We start from the raw sequence: 18,560 nt of genomic DNA on the forward strand, positions 1-18,560 counted from the left end.
GGGAAACAGAGACACTACCGTCCCACATCCGGAGGCCAGTGTCTCATTAGCCTCACGTCAAAGTTGAGAATAAGAACCCTCTATAGTCATATTCTCTATATGCCATTAGAGAATGTTTGCTGTGCCTGATTTGGGGATAGGTTATGCTGCATCTGACCGATGCCCTCTGGTTTGGTCAGCCACGATAGCAACTTCCAGCCTGGAAATGCTTGATTATTCAATCAGTGCCCTTACTAGTGATGTCACACCAAGCAGCAGTCTGAAAGGCTTTCGTCTGTTGTATTCAACAGACATTTCCAAGCACCTGCTGTGTGTCAGGCATTACGTTGCACCGTTGTTGCAGAAATTATTTAAACCTTAGCTCAATCCAAGTAGGCTTTCAGGTAACAATTACGATGCAAGTGGGCTCCATCCATATACAAGAGGAACAAGGAGGGGCAGCAAAAGAAAGGCCGTATCGGCCGGGGGTGGTGGCTCACGCCTGTAATCCCAGCACTTTGGGAGGCTGAGGCGGGCGGATCACTTGAGGTCAGTTTGAGACTAGCCTGGCCAACATGGTGAAACCCCGTCTCTACTAAAAATACAAAAAATTAGCTGGGCGTGGTGGCGCATGCTTGTAATCCCAGCTACTTGGGAGGCAGAGGTTGCAGTGAGCAAAGATGGCACCACCACACTCCAGCCTGAGTGACATAGTGAGACGCCATCTCAAAAAAAAGGCCGTATCTTCTGACGTTCAGTTCTGGCACTCGGGAGTGTCAGGTTCTTACAGGCAAGACTTTGTGGAGATACTGAATTTAAGTTGGGCTCTGAAGAATGATTTTGCCAAGTGAAACTGTGGAAAGGGCATTACAGGCAGAAGGAATGGCTTGAGCAAACCACAGAACCTGTAAAGTGCAAGGTTATCCTGAACAGCAGAGCACCTGGGTGGCAGTGGCTAACACCCAGGCAATGGAGGGAGGAGTCAAAGATGAGAAATTCCAGATACCTCAGAGCCCAAGCATGAAGGAGCATGAACCTGTGCTTCTGTAGCGTATACTAACTCTATTCTACAAGCAACGAGGGCTTAATACAGGCTTTTAAAATAACCTTTATTTTTTAAAAGTTAGTATGTGCATTATAGGAAATTGAAAAACACAAGCAAAGAACAAAGTCATTCACAATCACAAGCAGTTTATAGTTTGACATATTCTTCTAGATCCTGTGTGTAGGCACAACATCCAATTTTATGGGACTGAGACTGTACAGTATGTATCATGATTTTTCACACATCATGAATATTTACCAATTCAAAATCCCAAAGCTATATGAGTATTCTGATAACCAAGAATACACTACACCAACTCAAACTGCTAAAAAAAAAAAAAAAGATGTAATCCTGCCTTTCTTGGGACAGAAATTTCATATAAGACAAAAATGGCAACACGCCTCTAGATAAAAGCATTGGCAGAGTTCTGATTTAAATGCTGCATTCCCTTAATGCTCAATTTAAAATGAAACACACAGCAACAGAATACAGTATGTTTTTAAGAGAATTCATTAGCAGATCTATACCATTAAAATATTAGCAAAGTGTATTTCCATTGAATTAATGTGTTCTTATAGTACAGCCAAGAGATGCATACATCAATGGCTATCAAAATGTAAATATGGACATATATGGACACATCTGCATACATCTCTACCTGTATAATTCCTTCTGCCCCTCTGCTGCCAACCTAATGAACAAGTCCTGACATACACTGCTCAGAGGTGGCTTAACAATTCCATGTCCAAGATGTATCCTATCAATTATAACAAAGGTATTTACAAATAGGCTAATTCACTAGCTCTAGTTTTTATCATAAGTTGTCACCCCATTCGTAAAGCTTAGATGTTGCAAAATAATAACTTTGTCCACAATGAACACAGGCACTTTACTAAAAACGCTCTTGTAGACCTGTGGTTATCATCTAAAACCATCGTCTAGATATGGAGATACTAGCAAAGAGCCCTTCCCTTCACCCTTCCTCTTCTCCCTCTTCCACCATCCCCGTGACTAAGTACAGGATGTCTAGCTCCAAGGGGTGGACTAATAAAGGTCACTCCCAGAGGACAGGCCTTCCTAAAAACTAACAAAAGGACATTCACAAAGGGACTGATTTACTACATCTATTTTTAACATACTTTGAGCATTAAGACTTATCCTTTAATACACAATATTAACTAAAATGCACATATAGAACAATGGTTAGACCATCTGAACTAATCTCAGGAGCACAGAACCCCTCTCCCTGCATACCTCCTCTGCCCACCCCCCCTTCCCCCACCCCAAACACCCAATGAATAGTCTGCATTCGCTCCTAAGCATCAAGTTTTAACAATTCCATTCCCAAATGCAACCACTCCTAGGAAGTACTGAAAACAAATGCTTAGAGGGGTGTTACTTAAGCCCTCTACTGTTAACCTACATTGTGCACTTTTTTTTTTGAAACGGAGCCTCGCTCTGTCGCCAGGCTGGAGTGCAGTGGTGCGATCTTGGCTCACTGCAACTTCCGCCTCCCAAGTTCAAGCGATTCTCCTGCCTCAGCCTCTCGAGTAACTGGGGCTACAGGTGGGCACCACCACGACCAGCTAATTTTTGTATTTTTAGTAAAGATGGGGTTTCACCATGTTGGCCAAGATGGTCCTGATCTCTTGACCTCGTGATCCGCCTGCCTCGGCCTCCCAAAGTGCTGGGATTACAGGCATGCGCCACTGCGACAGGCCGTTGTACACTTTTAAACACCTAGAAAGACTAGATGTTTCAAACTGGACTTAAGTTTTCCATTATATACACAGTAGCATTGAATAAATGGTATACATACATAACACAGACTGTAATTTGAGTGTCTTCTAAATAGGAACATTCTGGCCTAGAACCCTTCCCTTTCCCACCTCTACCAACCCCGTGGACAGCTATAAGCCATCTGTAATGCTTAGGGGGGGTTTTAACAATTTCACTTGTTTTTAAGAAGTCTTCCCTATGAATTTTAACACAAAGTGTACTCAATGTAGTAGTTTACTAATTCTACTTTTGTCATATACTGGCAACCTTTTTAACATCGACTAGACGTAAATTAGGACTCCTATGTCCGCTTATATACACTATATACACAGCACAGTAAATGAAAATGCAGACATAAGGGACAATGGTCAATGTGCCTCCTCATAAACACACTGGACACTGGTAGAAAGCCCTTTGCACTTTGTGCTCCTCCTTCCCCCTGAACCAGCACAAATATCAAAATGGGTACTGCTCAGAGAATTGATCAATTTCCAAGACAATATTTCATATCAAAAGGATAGCTACAAAATGTGTTATTTACTACCTCTACTTTTAACATACTTTGTGCACTTCTAAACATCTAGAAAGACTAGATGTTTCAAATAAGGACTTAAGTTTGTCCGCTATATACACAGTAGGGTTGAATAAACTACACACATGTAACAATGGTTATATCTGATAGTGTCTTCTAAATACGAACATTCTGGTCTAGAACCCTTCATTCCTTCCAACTCCTCTCCACCACCAACCTGATGGATATAGGCACGTGTCACTTAGAGCTGATGTTATCTCACTTCCAAAAGTCCTTTTCAGAAGACAGCCTTTCTACAAATTTTAACAAAGTGTACAAAATGTGTTAGTTTACTAACTCTACTTCTGTCATACATTGGCAACCTCTTTAATATCTAGAGACTAGATATTATAAAATCGGGACTAATTTGTCCGTTATATATACAATATATACAGTATAGCAAAGTTAAATGAAATGCATGTAACATATACACAATGGATTAAGCTGAAATTTTCTAATAAACAATGGCAAAACACCATTTGCAATTTCTTCCCTCCCACCTCCCAGGTGGTTCAACAATTCCACTTCCAAACAGCATTTCCCATCAGTTTTTAAAAGCTATTTACAAAGTGTTATTCTACTACCACTTTTAAATACATCAAGCACTTCCAAATATCTAGAAAGACTAGATATTTCATATAACTTGTCCACCACATACACAGCACTGTTAAATAAAATTGCACACACATAACAATGGTTATCATCTGAGGTATCTTCTAAATGTGGCCATTTTGGCCTTGAATCATTCCCTCCTCCCTTCCTTCTCTGCCTTCAATCCAGTGGACAAGTACAGGCACGTGTAATGCTTAGAGATGGTCAAACAAATTCCTATGCAAAAGTCTTTACAGAAGACAAGTTTTCCTACGAATTTCAACACAAAGTGTACAAAATATGCTAATTTTACTCCTTTGTCATACACTGGCAACCTCTTTAACATCTAGAGACTAGATGTTGAAAAATTAGGACTATTTGTCCATTATATATACTATATACAGAGCAAAACAAAATGCACAAAACATATAGAAAAATGGTGTCTGAAAATGTCCAAGTATGAACACACTAGTAATATTACCTTTTGCAATTTCTTCCCTCCTACCTCCTCTAAACTATTGAACAAGTATAGACATTACTATACTGTTCACAAAGGTGGCTTCACAATTCAATTTCCAAAAGCATTTCCTATGAATTTTAGCAAAAAGATATTTACAAAGTGGTATTTTACTACCTATACATTTAACATACATCGGGCACTTCTAAACATCTAGATAGACTAGATGTTTCAAGTAAGGAGTTAATTTGTCTACTATGTATACAGCAGTCTTGAATAAACTGCAAACATGTAACAACAGTTATAATTTGAAAGAGTCTTCCAAATGTGAACATTCTGGCCTAGAACCCTTCCCATCTCCATCAACCCAGAAGACATCAAATTTTCAGAAGACAATCTTTCCTAGGACTTGTAAAACAAAATGTACAAAATATATTAGTTTACTAACTCTACTTTTGTCATACACTGGCAACCTCTTTAACATCCAGAAAGACTAGATGTTGTCAATTAGGACTCGTCTGTCCTTTATGTACACTATATACACAGATAAGTAAAACAAAATGCACAGACATAATGATTCATCTTGCCTCGCTGTAAACAGGATGGCATAGAGCTCTCTGCACCTCCCCCTCCTCTCTCCTCCCCTGAACCACTGCACAAACACAATGAGTATTACTCAACAGGTGATTTGGCCATTCCCCCCCAAAAATATTTCCTATGAATTGTAACAAAAAGGTATTTACAAAATGTGATTTTGCTACCTCTAATTTTAACATATCAGGCACTTCAGAACATCTAAAAAGAAGAGACATTTCAAAAAAGCTTAGCATTGTCAACTATATACACAGTAGTGAGGAATAAAATGCACACAAAACAATGGATAGAATATGAAAATGTCTTCTAAATATGACCAGTCTAGCATAGAACCTTCTTCTCTTCCTTCTCAGGTCTTCCAGCTCCATGTCATCTAACCCACTTAACAAACGTGGACGTATCGCTTCCAGAGGCCGTCTTAACAACTCCATTTCCAAAAGTCATCTCCAGAAGACATGTATTTTCTATGATTTCTTTTAAACAAATGAGAATTTACAAGATGTGTAACTTTCTAACTCTATTTTATCATACGTCGGCAACCTCTTTCCATCTAGAAGGGCTAGATGTGACAAATGTTTTCTATTAAAAGGTTGGGGTGGAGTTGAGAGCAGCTTTTTCATATTATATACACAGGCCTTCCATAAACGGCCAGTAAATCTTCCCAGAGGGTGGTGGGCATTTCCAACGGGCCAAACGTGGCCTGTCATTCTACCATTTCTCTCTTCCGACAGCAAAGTCTGGTAGAATGAAGACCAACCGCCCGATGGCCGCTAACCGTTCCACCCGTCGTCGTTCGGGACTTCGCTCACCTTCCAGGCCCCTTAAGGCCTTTGTCCGTTGTCGTCAGGACTAGGTAGGTCTCGCCCAATGGCGACAGAGTGGTCACCCGGGAACCGGATCTGCGCGGCTCCGTGGCCTAAAGAGGCGGCCGAGCCTGCTTGCGTCCCTAGGCCGCCTTCCCGGGCCGTCCACGCCTTAATGGCCTCCGCCGCGCGGCGTTCGAGCTGCCGCCATACTTCCCGGCCCACCACGCCCAGCGCCGCCCAAAGGCGCTGCGTCCCGGCGGCTCTGCGGGGGTTTCGTCGAGGCTTGGGTCGGGAGACCCGGGTGCCGGCGGGGTCCGGGCTGGGAGACGCCACGGCCGCCATTAGTCACCGAGGTGGGGTGGGAAAGAGAGGTTCGCTGCGGCTTCAAGGTCTGGGCACAGCCAGTGGGCGGGCACAGCCAGTGGGCAGCCACAGCAGAGGCCTCCGTTATCTGCAGGGCAGAGGGCTCGGCCTGTCCCGGGGCCCCCCAGTTCACCCGCCGGCCCGGGGCCGGAGGGCCTGGAGGGCCCTGGAGGAGCGGGCTGCGTTCTGCGTCTCTCCGCGATCTCTGCCGGACCGGAACTGACTTGGCAGTTCTCTGCGCTGGCAAGAGAGGAGCGGTACCGGAAGTGCCCTTGCGCTGGGGGCCCGCGAGCCGTGGTTCCGGGTCTGCAATGTTCCGGCGTGGGGGTGGGGAATGGGGAATGGGGTGTGGTCACGTGGGGTTAGGGCCCCCTCCACCCCGCTTGCTCTTCGCAACGGAAATTGCTACTGGCCTCAGAATTCCCTGAGCAAACGTTGCTTCTCTATCTCCTTACTCCTCCGGTGCTGGATAAGAAGACTCCAATATTTCATTTATTGACTCATTTACCACCTGTTTACCGAGCACCTATGTGCCTCTAAGCACGGGGGAGTGCAGCAGTAAAGAAAAAAACACAGGAAAATTTCTGCTCTCCTAAAATTTACATTCTAGTAAGGGAAACAACAATAAACAAGATCCTTAAAATGCATAAAAGGGTAGATAGCGAAAGTGCTTTGGAAACATAAAAAGGAAAGAGGAATATGAAGTGCAGGTGCGGAATGCTTTATAGTACGGCCAGGTGACTCTGGAGCAGAGACCCGAAGGAGGCGAGGGGATGAGCCATGCTTGGAGATGTCTGTAGGGGAACAGCTTATGCACAGGCCACAAAGCCGAAGCATGTGGGCCAGGCCTGTTCCAGGAACAGCAAAGAGGCTGGGGAAGAGAGGAGAGAAATGGGACCATGGGAGGGAGTTGAACTGCAGTGCGGGAGAGCTGAAGTGGAGGCAGGGGCAGAAGCAGGGAGACCTGATAACTGACTGTTGCAATCAAGCAGGTGAGCTATGATAGGGACTTATGCCAGGGCGACGACAGCAAAGGGGGCAAAAAGTGGTTGAATTCAGGGGTTGACATAAGCTCAAGTCTATAAGATTTGCTGACGGACCAGATGTGAAGTGGGAGAGCGAGAACTGAAAGATGACTCCACACTTTTTGGCCTGAGCAAATGAAAAGGCAGCCGCCTTAAGTGAGATGGAAGAAACCATGGGAGGAGCAAGCTTTGGGGAGAACACCAGGAGCTGAGTTTTAGGCATGTTAAGTTTGAGATGTCTGTTTGACATTCAAGTGGAAATGTCAAGCAGACAGATGGATTTATGAGTCTGGCATTCAGGGAAAGGTTTGAACTGGAGATGAATCTTTGGGAGTCGTCAGCATATAGATGTCTTTAAAACCTTGAGGCTGCATGAGAGAACCAAGAGAGGGACAAGGTCTGAGGTCTGATCCCTGGGTAACGTTTACAGGTCAGGGAATGAGAAGGAACCAGCAAAGGAGACTGAGAAGCGACCAGGGTGGTAGGAGAACAACCAGGAGAGTGTGGTGTCCTGGAAGTAAATGAGGAAAGTGTTTCAAGGGGAATTTATCAACAGTGTCAAATGCTGCTGATGTGTCAATTAAGATAAGGTTGGAAATGACACTTCCAGCTTTTAGAATTAATGCTGTGATGAACTTCCTCGTGAATTTTCACATTTTGTGTAGACTTCTGAATTCCTTTGGGTTTTTTTGTTTTTTGTTTTAGATGGAGTCTTGCGCTGTCACCTAGTCTAGAGTGCAGTGGCGCGATCTTGGCTCACTACAACCTCCACCTCCCAGGTTGAAGTGATTCTCCTACCTCAGCCTCACGAGTAGCTGGGATTATAGGCGCCCGCCACCGCGCCCAGCTAATTTTTGTATTTTTGAGTAGAGACGGGGGTTTCACCATGTTGGCCAGGCTGGTCTCGAACTTCTGACCTCGTGATCCACCTGCCTTGGCCTCCCAAAGTGCTGGGATTACAGGCGTGAGCCACCGCCCCCAGCCTCTGAGTTCCTTTGTTTGTATTTGTATTTTTATTTTTTTTTTTTGAGGCAGAGTCTTGCTCTGTTGCCCAGGCTGTAGTGAAATGGTGCGATCTTGACTCACTGCAACCTCCACCTCCTGGGTTCAAGTGATTCTCCTGCCTCAGCCTCCCAAGTAGCTGGGATTACAGGCACTCGCCACCAGGCCAGGCTAATTTTTTGTATTTTTAGTAGAGACGGGGTTTTACCCTGTTGGTCAGGCTGGTCTCGAACTTGTGACCTCAGGTGATCCACCCACCTTCGCCTCCCAAAGTGCTGGGATTACAGGTGTGAGCCACCGCACCTGGCCTGCATTTTTATTATTTTTAAAATTATTTATTTATTTATTTATGTTTGAGACAGGGTCTCGCTCTGTCATCCAGGCTGGAGTGCAGTGGTGCCATCTCGGCCCACTGCAACCTCCAACTCCTGAGTTCAAATGATTCTCCTGCTTCAGCCTCCCAAGTAGCTGGGACTACAAACGTGTGCCACCATGCCCAGCTAATTTTTGTATTTTTAGTATAGATGAGATTTCACTGTGTTGGCCAGGCTGGTTTCAAACTCCTGACCTCAGGTGATCCACCTGCCTCGGCTTCCCAAAGTGCTGGGAGTACAAGCATGAGCTACCACCACTGGCCCTGAGTTCCTTTGGATACAATTCTGGAAATGTAAAGAAAGATCAAAGGATTAAGACTCTTGATGCAGACTCAGACATGATTCCCAGGAGGAAAATCCTGCAGTCAGAAAGGCCTTGCTGGTGGAAGGTGGACAGGAGAGGTGGCGAGAAGTCCAGGGGCTCTAGTCCACAATGAGATGACAAGGCCCTGAGCCAGGAGAGTTGCACAGAAGTAGAAAACCGGTGAAGTGAGTGTTTCTAGCATTTCAAGAGAAGAAGCCAGTGGGCTGAATACCTGAGAGAAGAGGGAGGAGGGGAAGGAAGAGCCATGGATTATACAAGTTTCAAACACTAGCGCTAATGGGTAGTTTGGTAGTTGATACATTAGCCAAGACAAGGAGTAGGAGAGGCTCCTGGTCCCCTTTCTGAGCTTCCCACCGCCTAAGCAGCCAAACATGTGGGTATTCCTGGAACCTAAAGATGAGGATGATGAAAAACATGTATACATCCTGCTTTCTTTTTCTTTTTCTTTTATTATTTTTTTTCCGAGACGCAGTCTTGCTGTGTCTGGGCTGGAGTGAAGTGGTGTGATCTCGGCTCCCTGCAACCCTCGCCTCCCAGGTTCAAGCGATTCTCCTGACTCAGCCTCCTGAGTAACTGGGATTACAGGCACGTGCCACCACATCCCTTTAATTTTTGTATTCTTAGTAGGGATGGGATTTCACCATGTTGGCCAGGCTGGTCTGGAACTCTTGACCTCATGATCCGCCCACCTCGGCCTCCCAAAGTGCTGAGATTACAGGCATGAGCCACTGTGCTCAGCATACATTCTGCTTTCTACCTGATAGCTCTACTTGAATGTTCCAACAGTATCTGAAACTCCTCTTGTGCAAAACAAAACTCTTGGTATCTCCCCAGAGCCTGCTCTTCCCTATCAGTAAATGGCAGTATCATCCACCTGTTTCCCAAGTAATATGGTTTGGCTGTGTCTCCATCCAAATCTCATCTTGAATTGTACTCCTATAATTCCCACACGTTATGGGAGGGACCCAGTGGGAGATAATTTGAGTCATGGGGTGGTTCCCTCATACTGTTCTCATGGTAGTGAATAAGTCTCATGAGATCTGATGGTTTTATCAGGGGTTTCCGCTTTTGCATCTTTCTCATTTTCTCTTGCTGCTGCTGTGTAAGAAGTGCCTTTCACCTCCTGCCATGATTCTGAGACCTCCCCAGCCATGTGGAAATGTAAGTCCGATTAAACCTCTTTTTCTTCCCAGACTCGGGTATGTCTTTATCAGCAGCGTGAAAATGGACTAATACACCAAGTAATTCTCGATCTCCCTTGATTCCCCATTCTCTCACTTCCCACACGGCAACCATCCCCAGTCCTATCTGCCTCCTAAATATATTTCAAATACAGCCAATTCCCTGTGCTGTCCATTATAGTAGCCACTAGCTACGTGTGCCTATTTAAATTGTAATTCATTAGAATGACATGAAATTAAAAATTCAGTTCTTCAGCCACACCACCCTCATTCCAAGTGCTCAAGAGTCACAGGGAACTAGGAGCCAGTGGCTACCATATGAGCACAGGTGGAGAATGTTCCCACCATCCCAGGAAGTCCCATTGACAGTGCTGATCTGTATCCAAATCCAAGCTAGCAACGTCTTTCATTTGGATGACTCTAATAGCCCCTTAATTGTTGTTGTTCTGGTTTCTACTGCTCTCCCTTTCTAATCCGTTCTCCCTACAGAAGCCAGAATGAACTTTTAATCAAAAATCAGATCTTATAACTCTCCTGTTTAAGCCTTCAGTGGCTTTTCATCACACTTAGAACAAAATCAAACTTATTTCCACGACCACTGCCTTCCATGACCTGCCCTTTGACCTGCCCTTTGTGTCCCTCGTGCCTCATCTTTGTTTTTTTTTTTGTTTTTGTTTGAGAAGGATCTCAATCTGTCACCCAGGCTGCAGTGCAGTGCAGTGCAGTGGTGTGATTATGGCTCACTACAGCCTCGTCCTCCCTGGGCTCAGGTGATCCTCCTGCCTCAGACTCCCAAGTAGCTAGGACTATAGACACACGCCACCATGCCCAGCTAATTTTTATATTTCTTGTAGAGAGAGGGTTTTGCCATGTTGCCCAGGCTGGTCTTGAACTGAGCTCAAGCCATCCACCCTCCCCAGCCCGTCCCGGCCTCCCAAAGTGCTGGGACTTTAGGCATTAGCCACTGCCCCCAGCTTCATGCCCCATCTTGAGCCACTCTCTCCCTGTCTCGTTATATGCCAGCCACGCTAGTCTCCTTGCTGTTCCTTCCACTCTCTGAGCTCTTCTCTGCCTCAGGGCCTTTCCACATGCTGTCTACCTGGAAGACTCTTCACCTCTTCACTGGGTTTGGCAAGGCTAAGTTTCTTCTCATCCTATAGGTCTCAGCTCCAATGTTATCTCTTTAGACAGCCTTTCCTGGCCGCCCTTTCTCCAGGCGGTCTCTTCCAGTTATCATCACATTGCCCTACTTATTTCCTTCCTTCATTTTTCAAAAATCTCATTATTTTATTAATAGTAATGAACATTTCTGCACATTTCTTATATGCAAGGCACTGTACTGAGGACTTGGCTTTATATGCCTCACTATATTTATTTATTTATTTTGAGATGGAGTCCCACTCTGTCACCTAGGCTGGAGTGCAGTGGTGTAATCTCAGCTCACTGCAAGCTCCGCCTCCTGGGTTCAAGCGATTCTCCTGCCTCAGCCTCCCTAGTGTCTGGGATTACAGGCATGCACCACCACGCCTGGCTAATTTTTGTATTTTTAGTAGAGATGAGGTTATGCCATGTTGGCCAGGCTGGTCTTGAACTCCTGACCTCAAGTGATCCTCCTGCCTTGGCCCCCCAAAGTGCTGGGATTACAGGTGTGAGCTGCCACAGCTGGCCTGCTTTGTCTATTTTTAATTTAATTAATTTAATTTTGAGACAGGGTTTCACCCTCTCACCCAGGCTGGAGTGCAGTGATACGATCGTAACTCTCCACAGCCTCGAATTCCTGAGCTCAAGAGATCCTCCTTCTCCAGCCTCTGGAGTACCTGGGACTACAGGAGTGCATCTCCACACCCTGGCTAATTAAAAAAAAAAAAAAAGTTTTTTTTTGTTGTTGAGACAGAGTTTCACTTTGTTGCCCAGGCTGGTCTTGAACACCTGGCTCTAAGCAATCCTCCCACCTCAGCCTCCCAAAGTGCTGGGATTACAAGCATGAGCCACCATGCCCTGCCTATCTATTAATTTACTAGTTTATTTTCTGTTCTGGTTTTCACCTATGTCCCTGGCACTCAGCACAGTGCCTGGTATGCAGTAGGCATTAATAATTGTAAAGAAATTAATTAATTGAGCACATACTGTGGGCCAAGCACTGTGCTCAGCACTGTACATATATTGTCTCATTTAACCTGCACAGCAATCCTGTGAAGTAAGTGCTACTACTCTCCTCCTTTTACAGAGGAGAAGCTATGTCACTTGTCTAGTTCTCAGAAAAAAACTAGGATTTTAATCCAACTCATCTGACTCCCAAGCTCCCTGGGAAGGCACTATAGGGGATTTAGAAGTCTGAGTACACACAGCCTGAAACCACCCACAGCTCAGACTAGCAGCAGGGAAACTAAAGTATTCCTTTCTTGAAGGGCTTTCTATTTCAGATCAGGCCACAGATTCTGGTGTGTCACTGCTCAATCAGGAGGCAGATTCAGGACCTGGGTCAGGGCTTAGGCTTGGACAGAGTCAAGAAAGCTAAATGGCTGGGTGCCGTGGCTCATGCCTGTAATCCCAGCACTTTGGGAGGCGGAGGAGGGCAGATTGCTTGAGGCCAGGAGTTTGAGACCAGCCAGACCAACATGGCAAAACCTCGTCTCTACTAAAAATACAAAAATGAAGCTGGGCACAGTGGTACACGCCTGTAATCAGCACTTTGGGAGGCCAAGGCAGGCAGATCACCTAAGGTCAACAGTTCGAGACCAGCCTGGTCAACACAGTGAAACCCCATCTCTACTAAAAATACAAAAATTAGCCTGGAATGGTGGCTGGCGCTTGTAATCCTAGCTACTCGGGAGGCTGAGGCAGGAGAATTGCTTGAGCCTGGGAAGCGGAGGTTGTAGTGAGCCAAGATCACGCCACTGCATTCCAGCCTGGGCACTGAGCGAGACTCTGTTTCAAAAAAAAAAAAAAAAACACCCAAAACAAAAACAAAAATGAGCCAGTGTGATGGTGTACGCCTGTAATCCCAGCTACTTGGAAGGCTGAGGCAGGAGAATCACTTGAACCTGGGAGGCGGAGGCTGCGGTGAGCTGCAATCGCATCACTGCACTCCAGCCTGGGCAATAGAGGGAGATTCTGTCTCAATAATAATAATAATAATAATGGCTGGGCATGGTGGCTCATGCCTGTAATCCCAGCATTTTGGGAGGCTGAGGCGGGTGGATCACCTGAGGTCAGGAGTTTGAGACTTGGGAAACAAAGGCAGTGCAACATCTGTACCTTCCCGGGCCTGGGCATACAGTCCCACCATTATTGCTATTAGCATTTGTCTGCACTGAGGCAGATCTAATTGTCATCAGGGCTCTGGAAAACAGGTGGTGTTGGGGGGGTGTCCCATAAAGTCCACTTAGGATCATCATTATTTTTTTATTTTTTATTTTTTTTGAGATGGAGTCTTGCTCTGTTGCCCAGGCTGGAGTTCAGTGGCTCGATCTCAGCTCACAGCAAGCTCCGCCTCCCGGGTTCATGCCATTCTCCTGCCTCAGCCTCCTGAGTAGCTGGGACTGCAGGTGCCTGCCACCACACCCGGCTAATTTTTTGTATTTTTAGTAGAGACGGGGTTTCACCGTGTTAGCCAGGATGGTCTCAATCTCCTGACCTCATGATCCGCCCGCCTCGGCCTCCCAAAGTGCTGGGATTACAGGCATGAGCCACCGCGCCCAGCCAGGATCATCATTATTATCATTGCTTGAACGTGGGATTTGGTTTTGCCCTACTACAGTTTCTCAAACTTGAATCGTTTCTAAATCAGCCTAACAACTTTTTCCATATCCATGTACCACAATGTGTCAGTCCATTCAGGCGGTTAGAACAAAATACCATCAATTGAGTGGCTTATAAACAACAGTAATTTATTTCTTACAGTTCTGGAGGCTGGGAAGTCTAAGATCAAGGAAATGGCAGATTCTGTGTCTGGCGAAGGCCCAGTTTTTTTTTTTTTTTTTTTTTTTTTTTTTTTTTTTTTTTTTGAGACGGAGTCTTGCTCTGCCACCCAGGCAGGAGTGCAGTGGCACGATCTCAGCTCATTGCAACCTCTGCCTCTTGGGTTCAAGCAATTCTCCTGCCTCAGCCTCCTGAGTAGCTGGGATCACAGGTGCCTGCCACCATGCCCAGCTAATTTTTGTATTTTTAGTAGAGACAGGGTTTATTTCTTTCTTTTTCTTTCTTTCTTTTTTTTTTTTTTTTTGAGATGGAGTTTCGCTCTTCTTGCCCAGACTGGAGTGGAATGGCGCGATCTGGGCTCACTGCAACCTCTGCCTCCCAGGTTCAAGCGATTCTCCTGCCTCAGCTTCCCGAGTAGCTGGGATTACAGGCTCCTGCCACCATGCCTGCTAATTTTTGCATTTTTAGTAGAGACGGTATTCCACCATGTTGGCCAGGCTGGTCCTGAACTCCCAACCTCAGGTGATCCGCCCACCTTGGCCTCCCAAAGTGTTGGAATTACAGGCGTGAGCCACCGTGCCTGGCCCGGCCTCTTTTATAACATTGATCCCATTCATGAAGGCTCTTCTCCCACGATCTAATCACTTCCTAAGGGCCCCACCTCTTAATACCATCACTGTGGGGGTTAGGATTTCAACATAGGAATTTGGGGGTGAGGGGTCACAAACATTCAGACCATAGCACATCAGTACCAGTTTCTACTTAATACCGCTCTATGAATTGACTAATTTCGCCCAACTGTTGCTACATTAACCTTGTCCTCAGCAGTATTTGTGAAATCATCAAGTTGACATGCTAGTTATATGTTTTCCTAATATACATTAAAGTAAATATATAACTCTTTAAAAAATGTTCTTCTGGGTTGCACTTGAAATCATCTCGGTGCAACCAGTGGAACCCAAACCACACTTAGCAAAGCAATTAGTGTCAAAGGGACACAGGCAACAGCCGAAAAAGCTCCCAACCAGGCGCAGTGGCTTGCACCTGTAATCCCAGCACTTTGGGAGGCTGAGGCAGGTGGATCTCCTAAGGTCAACAGTTTGAGACCAGCCTGGCCAACATGGTGAAACCCCATCTCTACTAAAAATACAAAAATTAGCCAGGCATGGTGGAGCACGCCTGTAGTCCCAACTACTCGGGAGGCTGAGGCAGGAAAATCGCTTGAACCCCGGAGGCGGAGGTTGCAGTGAGCTGAGATCGCGCCACTGCACTCCAGCCTAGGTGACAGAGAAGACTCCATCTAAAAAAAAAAAAAAAAAAAGCTCCCAATGGCCAAAGCTGGAACAATTTGAGCAACAAAATAACATAGTATTGGGATAAAGTTCAAAGTATAAACCAAATATCCATGAGTCCATACTGTTATAAATGATTAAATAAATAAATGAGGGAGGGCTGGGCGCGGTGGCTCACGCCTGTAATCCCAGCACTTTGGGAGGCTGAGGCAGGCAGATCACCTGAGGTCGGGAGTTCAAGACCAGCCTGACCAACATGGAGAAACCCCGTCTCTACTAAAAATACAAAATTAGCCAGGCGTGGTGGCGCATGCCTGTAGTCCCAGCTACTTGGGAAGGCTGAGGCAGGAGAATCTCTTAAACCTGGGAGGCGGAGGTTGTGGTGACCCAGTGTTGTGCCATTGTACTCCAGCCTGGGCAACAAAGTGAAACTCTGTCTCAATAAATAAATAAATAAATAAATAAATAAATAAATAAATAAGGGAGAAGAGACAAATGATCCTTAAAGAAGAATTCTAGATAATGTAGGTAGATACAACCCCTTCAGGTTGTGGAGCTTAATTCTCCCATTGAGTGTGGGCTGCACTTAGTAACTTGCTTCCAAAGAGTGGAAAGGGAGGAAAAACAAGCAACTTCCCAGGGGAGAAACTGGACAGACACTCGCTTGGCCAGGTAATCAAGTCATGTCGCTAACATGTATCCTGATGAAGTCATGTCAATAACATGTACCTATGATTTGATGAGAAGAGCAGTTTACCTCTATGACATGTTTCCCCAAACTCATAACCCCAGTCTAACTATGAGAAAAGCATCAGATGAACCCAAATTGAGGGGCACTCTGTAAAATACCTGTCCAGTACTCCTCAAAGCTGTCAAGGTCTTAAAAACCAAGAAATGCCTGAGTAATTGTTACAAGCCAGAAGAAACTAAAGGGACATGATGACTAAATGTAGTGTGGTGTCCTAGAAGGGACTCTGGAGCAGAAAACAGGTGGAATTTAGTTCATAGGAATGTACCAGTGTTGGTTTCTTAGTTGTGACAAATGCCATAGTAATGTAAGGTGGTAATAATAGGGGAAGCAGGGTGAGGGCTATACAGGAACTCTCTGTACTCTTGAGTATGATGGTTAAGTTCATGTGTCAACATGGAGGGTGGTTTTGGATGATATTAGCATTTAAATGGTTGAACTTGGGTGTGGGCGGGCCTCATTTGATCAGTTGAAGGCCTGAATAAAACAGAAAGACTGGCCTCCCTAAGCAAGATGGAATTCTCCGGCAGGCTGCCTTCAAACTGCACCATTGGCTCTCCTGGGTCATCAGCCTGCAGGCCCACACTGTGGGATTCGGGCTTGCCAGCCTTCATAATTAGGTAAGCCAATTCTTTATGATAAATCTCTTTTATGCACACACACACCGTATTGGTTCTCTTTCTCTGGTGAGCCCTAACACAATGGGAAATTTCTGTACTCTAAATCAAAGACTTACATTTATTTTCTGTAAATGTAAAATTATTTTAAAATAATAAGTTTATTTTAAAAAGAGAGAAGGCTGGGTGCGGTGGCTCATGCCTATAATCCCAGTACTTTGGGAGGCCGAGGTGGGTGGATCACCTGAGGTTGGGAGTTTGAGACCAGCCTGGCTAACATGGTGAAACCCCATCTGTACTAAAAATACAAAAATTAGCCAGGCGTGGTGGCGCATGCCTGTAATCCCAGCTACTTGGAAGGCTGAGGCATGAGAATTACTTGAATCCATGAGGCAGAGGTTGCAGTGAGCCGAGATCACGCCACTGCACTCCAGCCTGTGCAACAGAGCGAGACTCTGTCTCAAAATAAATAAATAAATAATAAAAAGAGAAAAAAAGAGGCATGAATTTTGAAGTCATGTAGATCCATTTATTTGTTTCCTGTGGGTGCCAAAACAAATTACTACAAGCCTGGTAGCTTAAAACAACAGAAATTTATTCTCTCATAGTTCTGGAGGCCATAAATTGAACATGAGTTTCACTGAGCTGAAGTCAATGTGTTGGCAAGGCTGTATTCCCTCCAGATGCTCTGGGGAAGAATCCGTCTGCCTCTTCCAACTTCTGGTGGCTGCCAACAATCCTTGGCTTGTGGCCACATCAGTCTCTGCCTCCATGGTCACATTGCTTCCTCTTCTTCTGTGTGTGTTGGTCTAATCTTCCTTTCCCTCTCTCTTATAAGGATATGTGTGATGGAATTTAGGGCCCACTTGGCTAATCCTCAATGATATCCTCATCTCAACATTCTTAATCACATCTGCAAAAATTATTTTCTCAAATAAAGTAATGTTTACAGTAGTTTCCAGAGATTAGGACTTGATATATTTGGGTGGCCATTATTCAGCCTACTACACCCTGGCTGTGTGAAATGTAGGACTTTTGTAGTATGAGTAAGCCGGCTCTATACTTAAAAATAAAAACTATGACATAACCTGGTTTTAAAAAATGTTCATCTGGGTTCCACCTGAAATCATCGTATTATGACCACTAGTGAGGTAGGAGGCAGGACTCGAGTCTGGAGGTGGGGTTCAGACACTGGACCAAATTGAGGACTAGCTAAAGCAGGGATGGGGTAGAAGAAGCTTTCCATAAGACATGCCCACCAGTGTGCCATGCCAGTTTACCATTGCCATGGCAACACTCAGAGGTTACTGCCCTTTCCATGGTAGTGACCCAAGACCAAGAAGTTACCACCTTTTTCCTAGAAATTTCTGCATAATCTGCCCCTGAATTTGCATGTAAATAAAAGTGGGTATAAATATGACTGCAGAACTGCGTTTGAGCTGCTACTCTAGGCACACTGCCTATGGGGTAACCCTGCTCCACAAGAAGCAGTACGTCTGCTGCTGCCGAACACTGCCACTTCAATAAAAGTTACTATCTGACATCACTGACTTACCCTTGAATTCTTTCAAGTCAAGAACCCTCCTGGGCTAAGCCCCAATTGGGATCACCTGCCCTGCCTTGGTGGGACCCAAGCCACACTTTGCCAAACAGTGTAAGAGATTGGTCTTAGAGGTCAGAGAGTTCTACATTCTAACTCTGGCAAGCCTGTGACTTTGGTTAAGTCAACATATTCCTTGAAGACTATCTCTTCATCTGTACAAGAGGACACTAGCCCTGACTCAGAGGAATGCTGTCAGAACTCCTGCAGACTGTGAAACAGATGCACAACAAATGATCAGTCACATTCTCCTCCCCCTCCATTTTATAGTTTGTTACACTTCACAAAAT

The 18,560-nt window shown here is 45.2% G+C and overlaps 1 long non-coding RNA gene across 1 annotated transcript, besides 5 other annotated features; it reads right to left on the reverse strand.

Annotated features, from left to right (window-relative positions):
* Positions 1 to 1,063: 1,063 nt before the first annotated feature.
* Positions 1,064 to 6,406, reverse strand: NORAD (non-coding RNA activated by DNA damage). Its single transcript, NR_027451.1, has one exon. It is a non-coding gene; the product is annotated as a non-coding RNA activated by DNA damage (long non-coding RNA).
* Positions 5,403 to 6,602: an enhancer, noted in NCBI's record as "MED14-independent group 3 enhancer chr20:34637879-34639078 (GRCh37/hg19 assembly coordinates)". NCBI's record gives its function as "activates an origin of replication core promoter dependent on BRD2, BRD4, P300/CBP and CDK7 cofactors, and independent of MED14, by STARR-seq in HCT116 cells {active_cell/tissue: HCT116}" and the evidence as "EXISTENCE:reporter gene assay evidence [ECO:0000049][PMID:35650434]".
* Positions 5,403 to 6,654: a biological region, named in NCBI's record as "MED14-independent group 3 enhancer GRCh37_chr20:34637879-34639078".
* Positions 6,083 to 6,654: an enhancer, noted in NCBI's record as "H3K27ac hESC enhancer chr20:34638559-34639130 (GRCh37/hg19 assembly coordinates)". NCBI's record gives its function as "activates a minimal SCP1, AML or CMV promoter by ChIP-STARR-seq in primed H9 embryonic stem cells {active_cell/tissue: H9 hESC(primed)}" and the evidence as "EXISTENCE:reporter gene assay evidence [ECO:0000049][PMID:30033119]".
* Positions 6,142 to 6,351: a silencer, noted in NCBI's record as "silent region_12865". NCBI's record gives its function as "represses an Ori minimal core promoter by ATAC-STARR-seq in GM12878 lymphoblastoid cells {active_cell/tissue: GM12878}" and the evidence as "EXISTENCE:reporter gene assay evidence [ECO:0000049][PMID:35858748]".
* Positions 9,649 to 9,828: an enhancer, noted in NCBI's record as "active region_17803". NCBI's record gives its function as "activates an Ori minimal core promoter by ATAC-STARR-seq in GM12878 lymphoblastoid cells {active_cell/tissue: GM12878}" and the evidence as "EXISTENCE:reporter gene assay evidence [ECO:0000049][PMID:35858748]".

Source organism: Homo sapiens, chromosome 20 (genome assembly GCF_000001405.40).
Source record: "Homo sapiens chromosome 20, GRCh38.p14 Primary Assembly".
Lineage (NCBI taxonomy): Eukaryota > Metazoa > Chordata > Mammalia > Primates > Hominidae > Homo > Homo sapiens.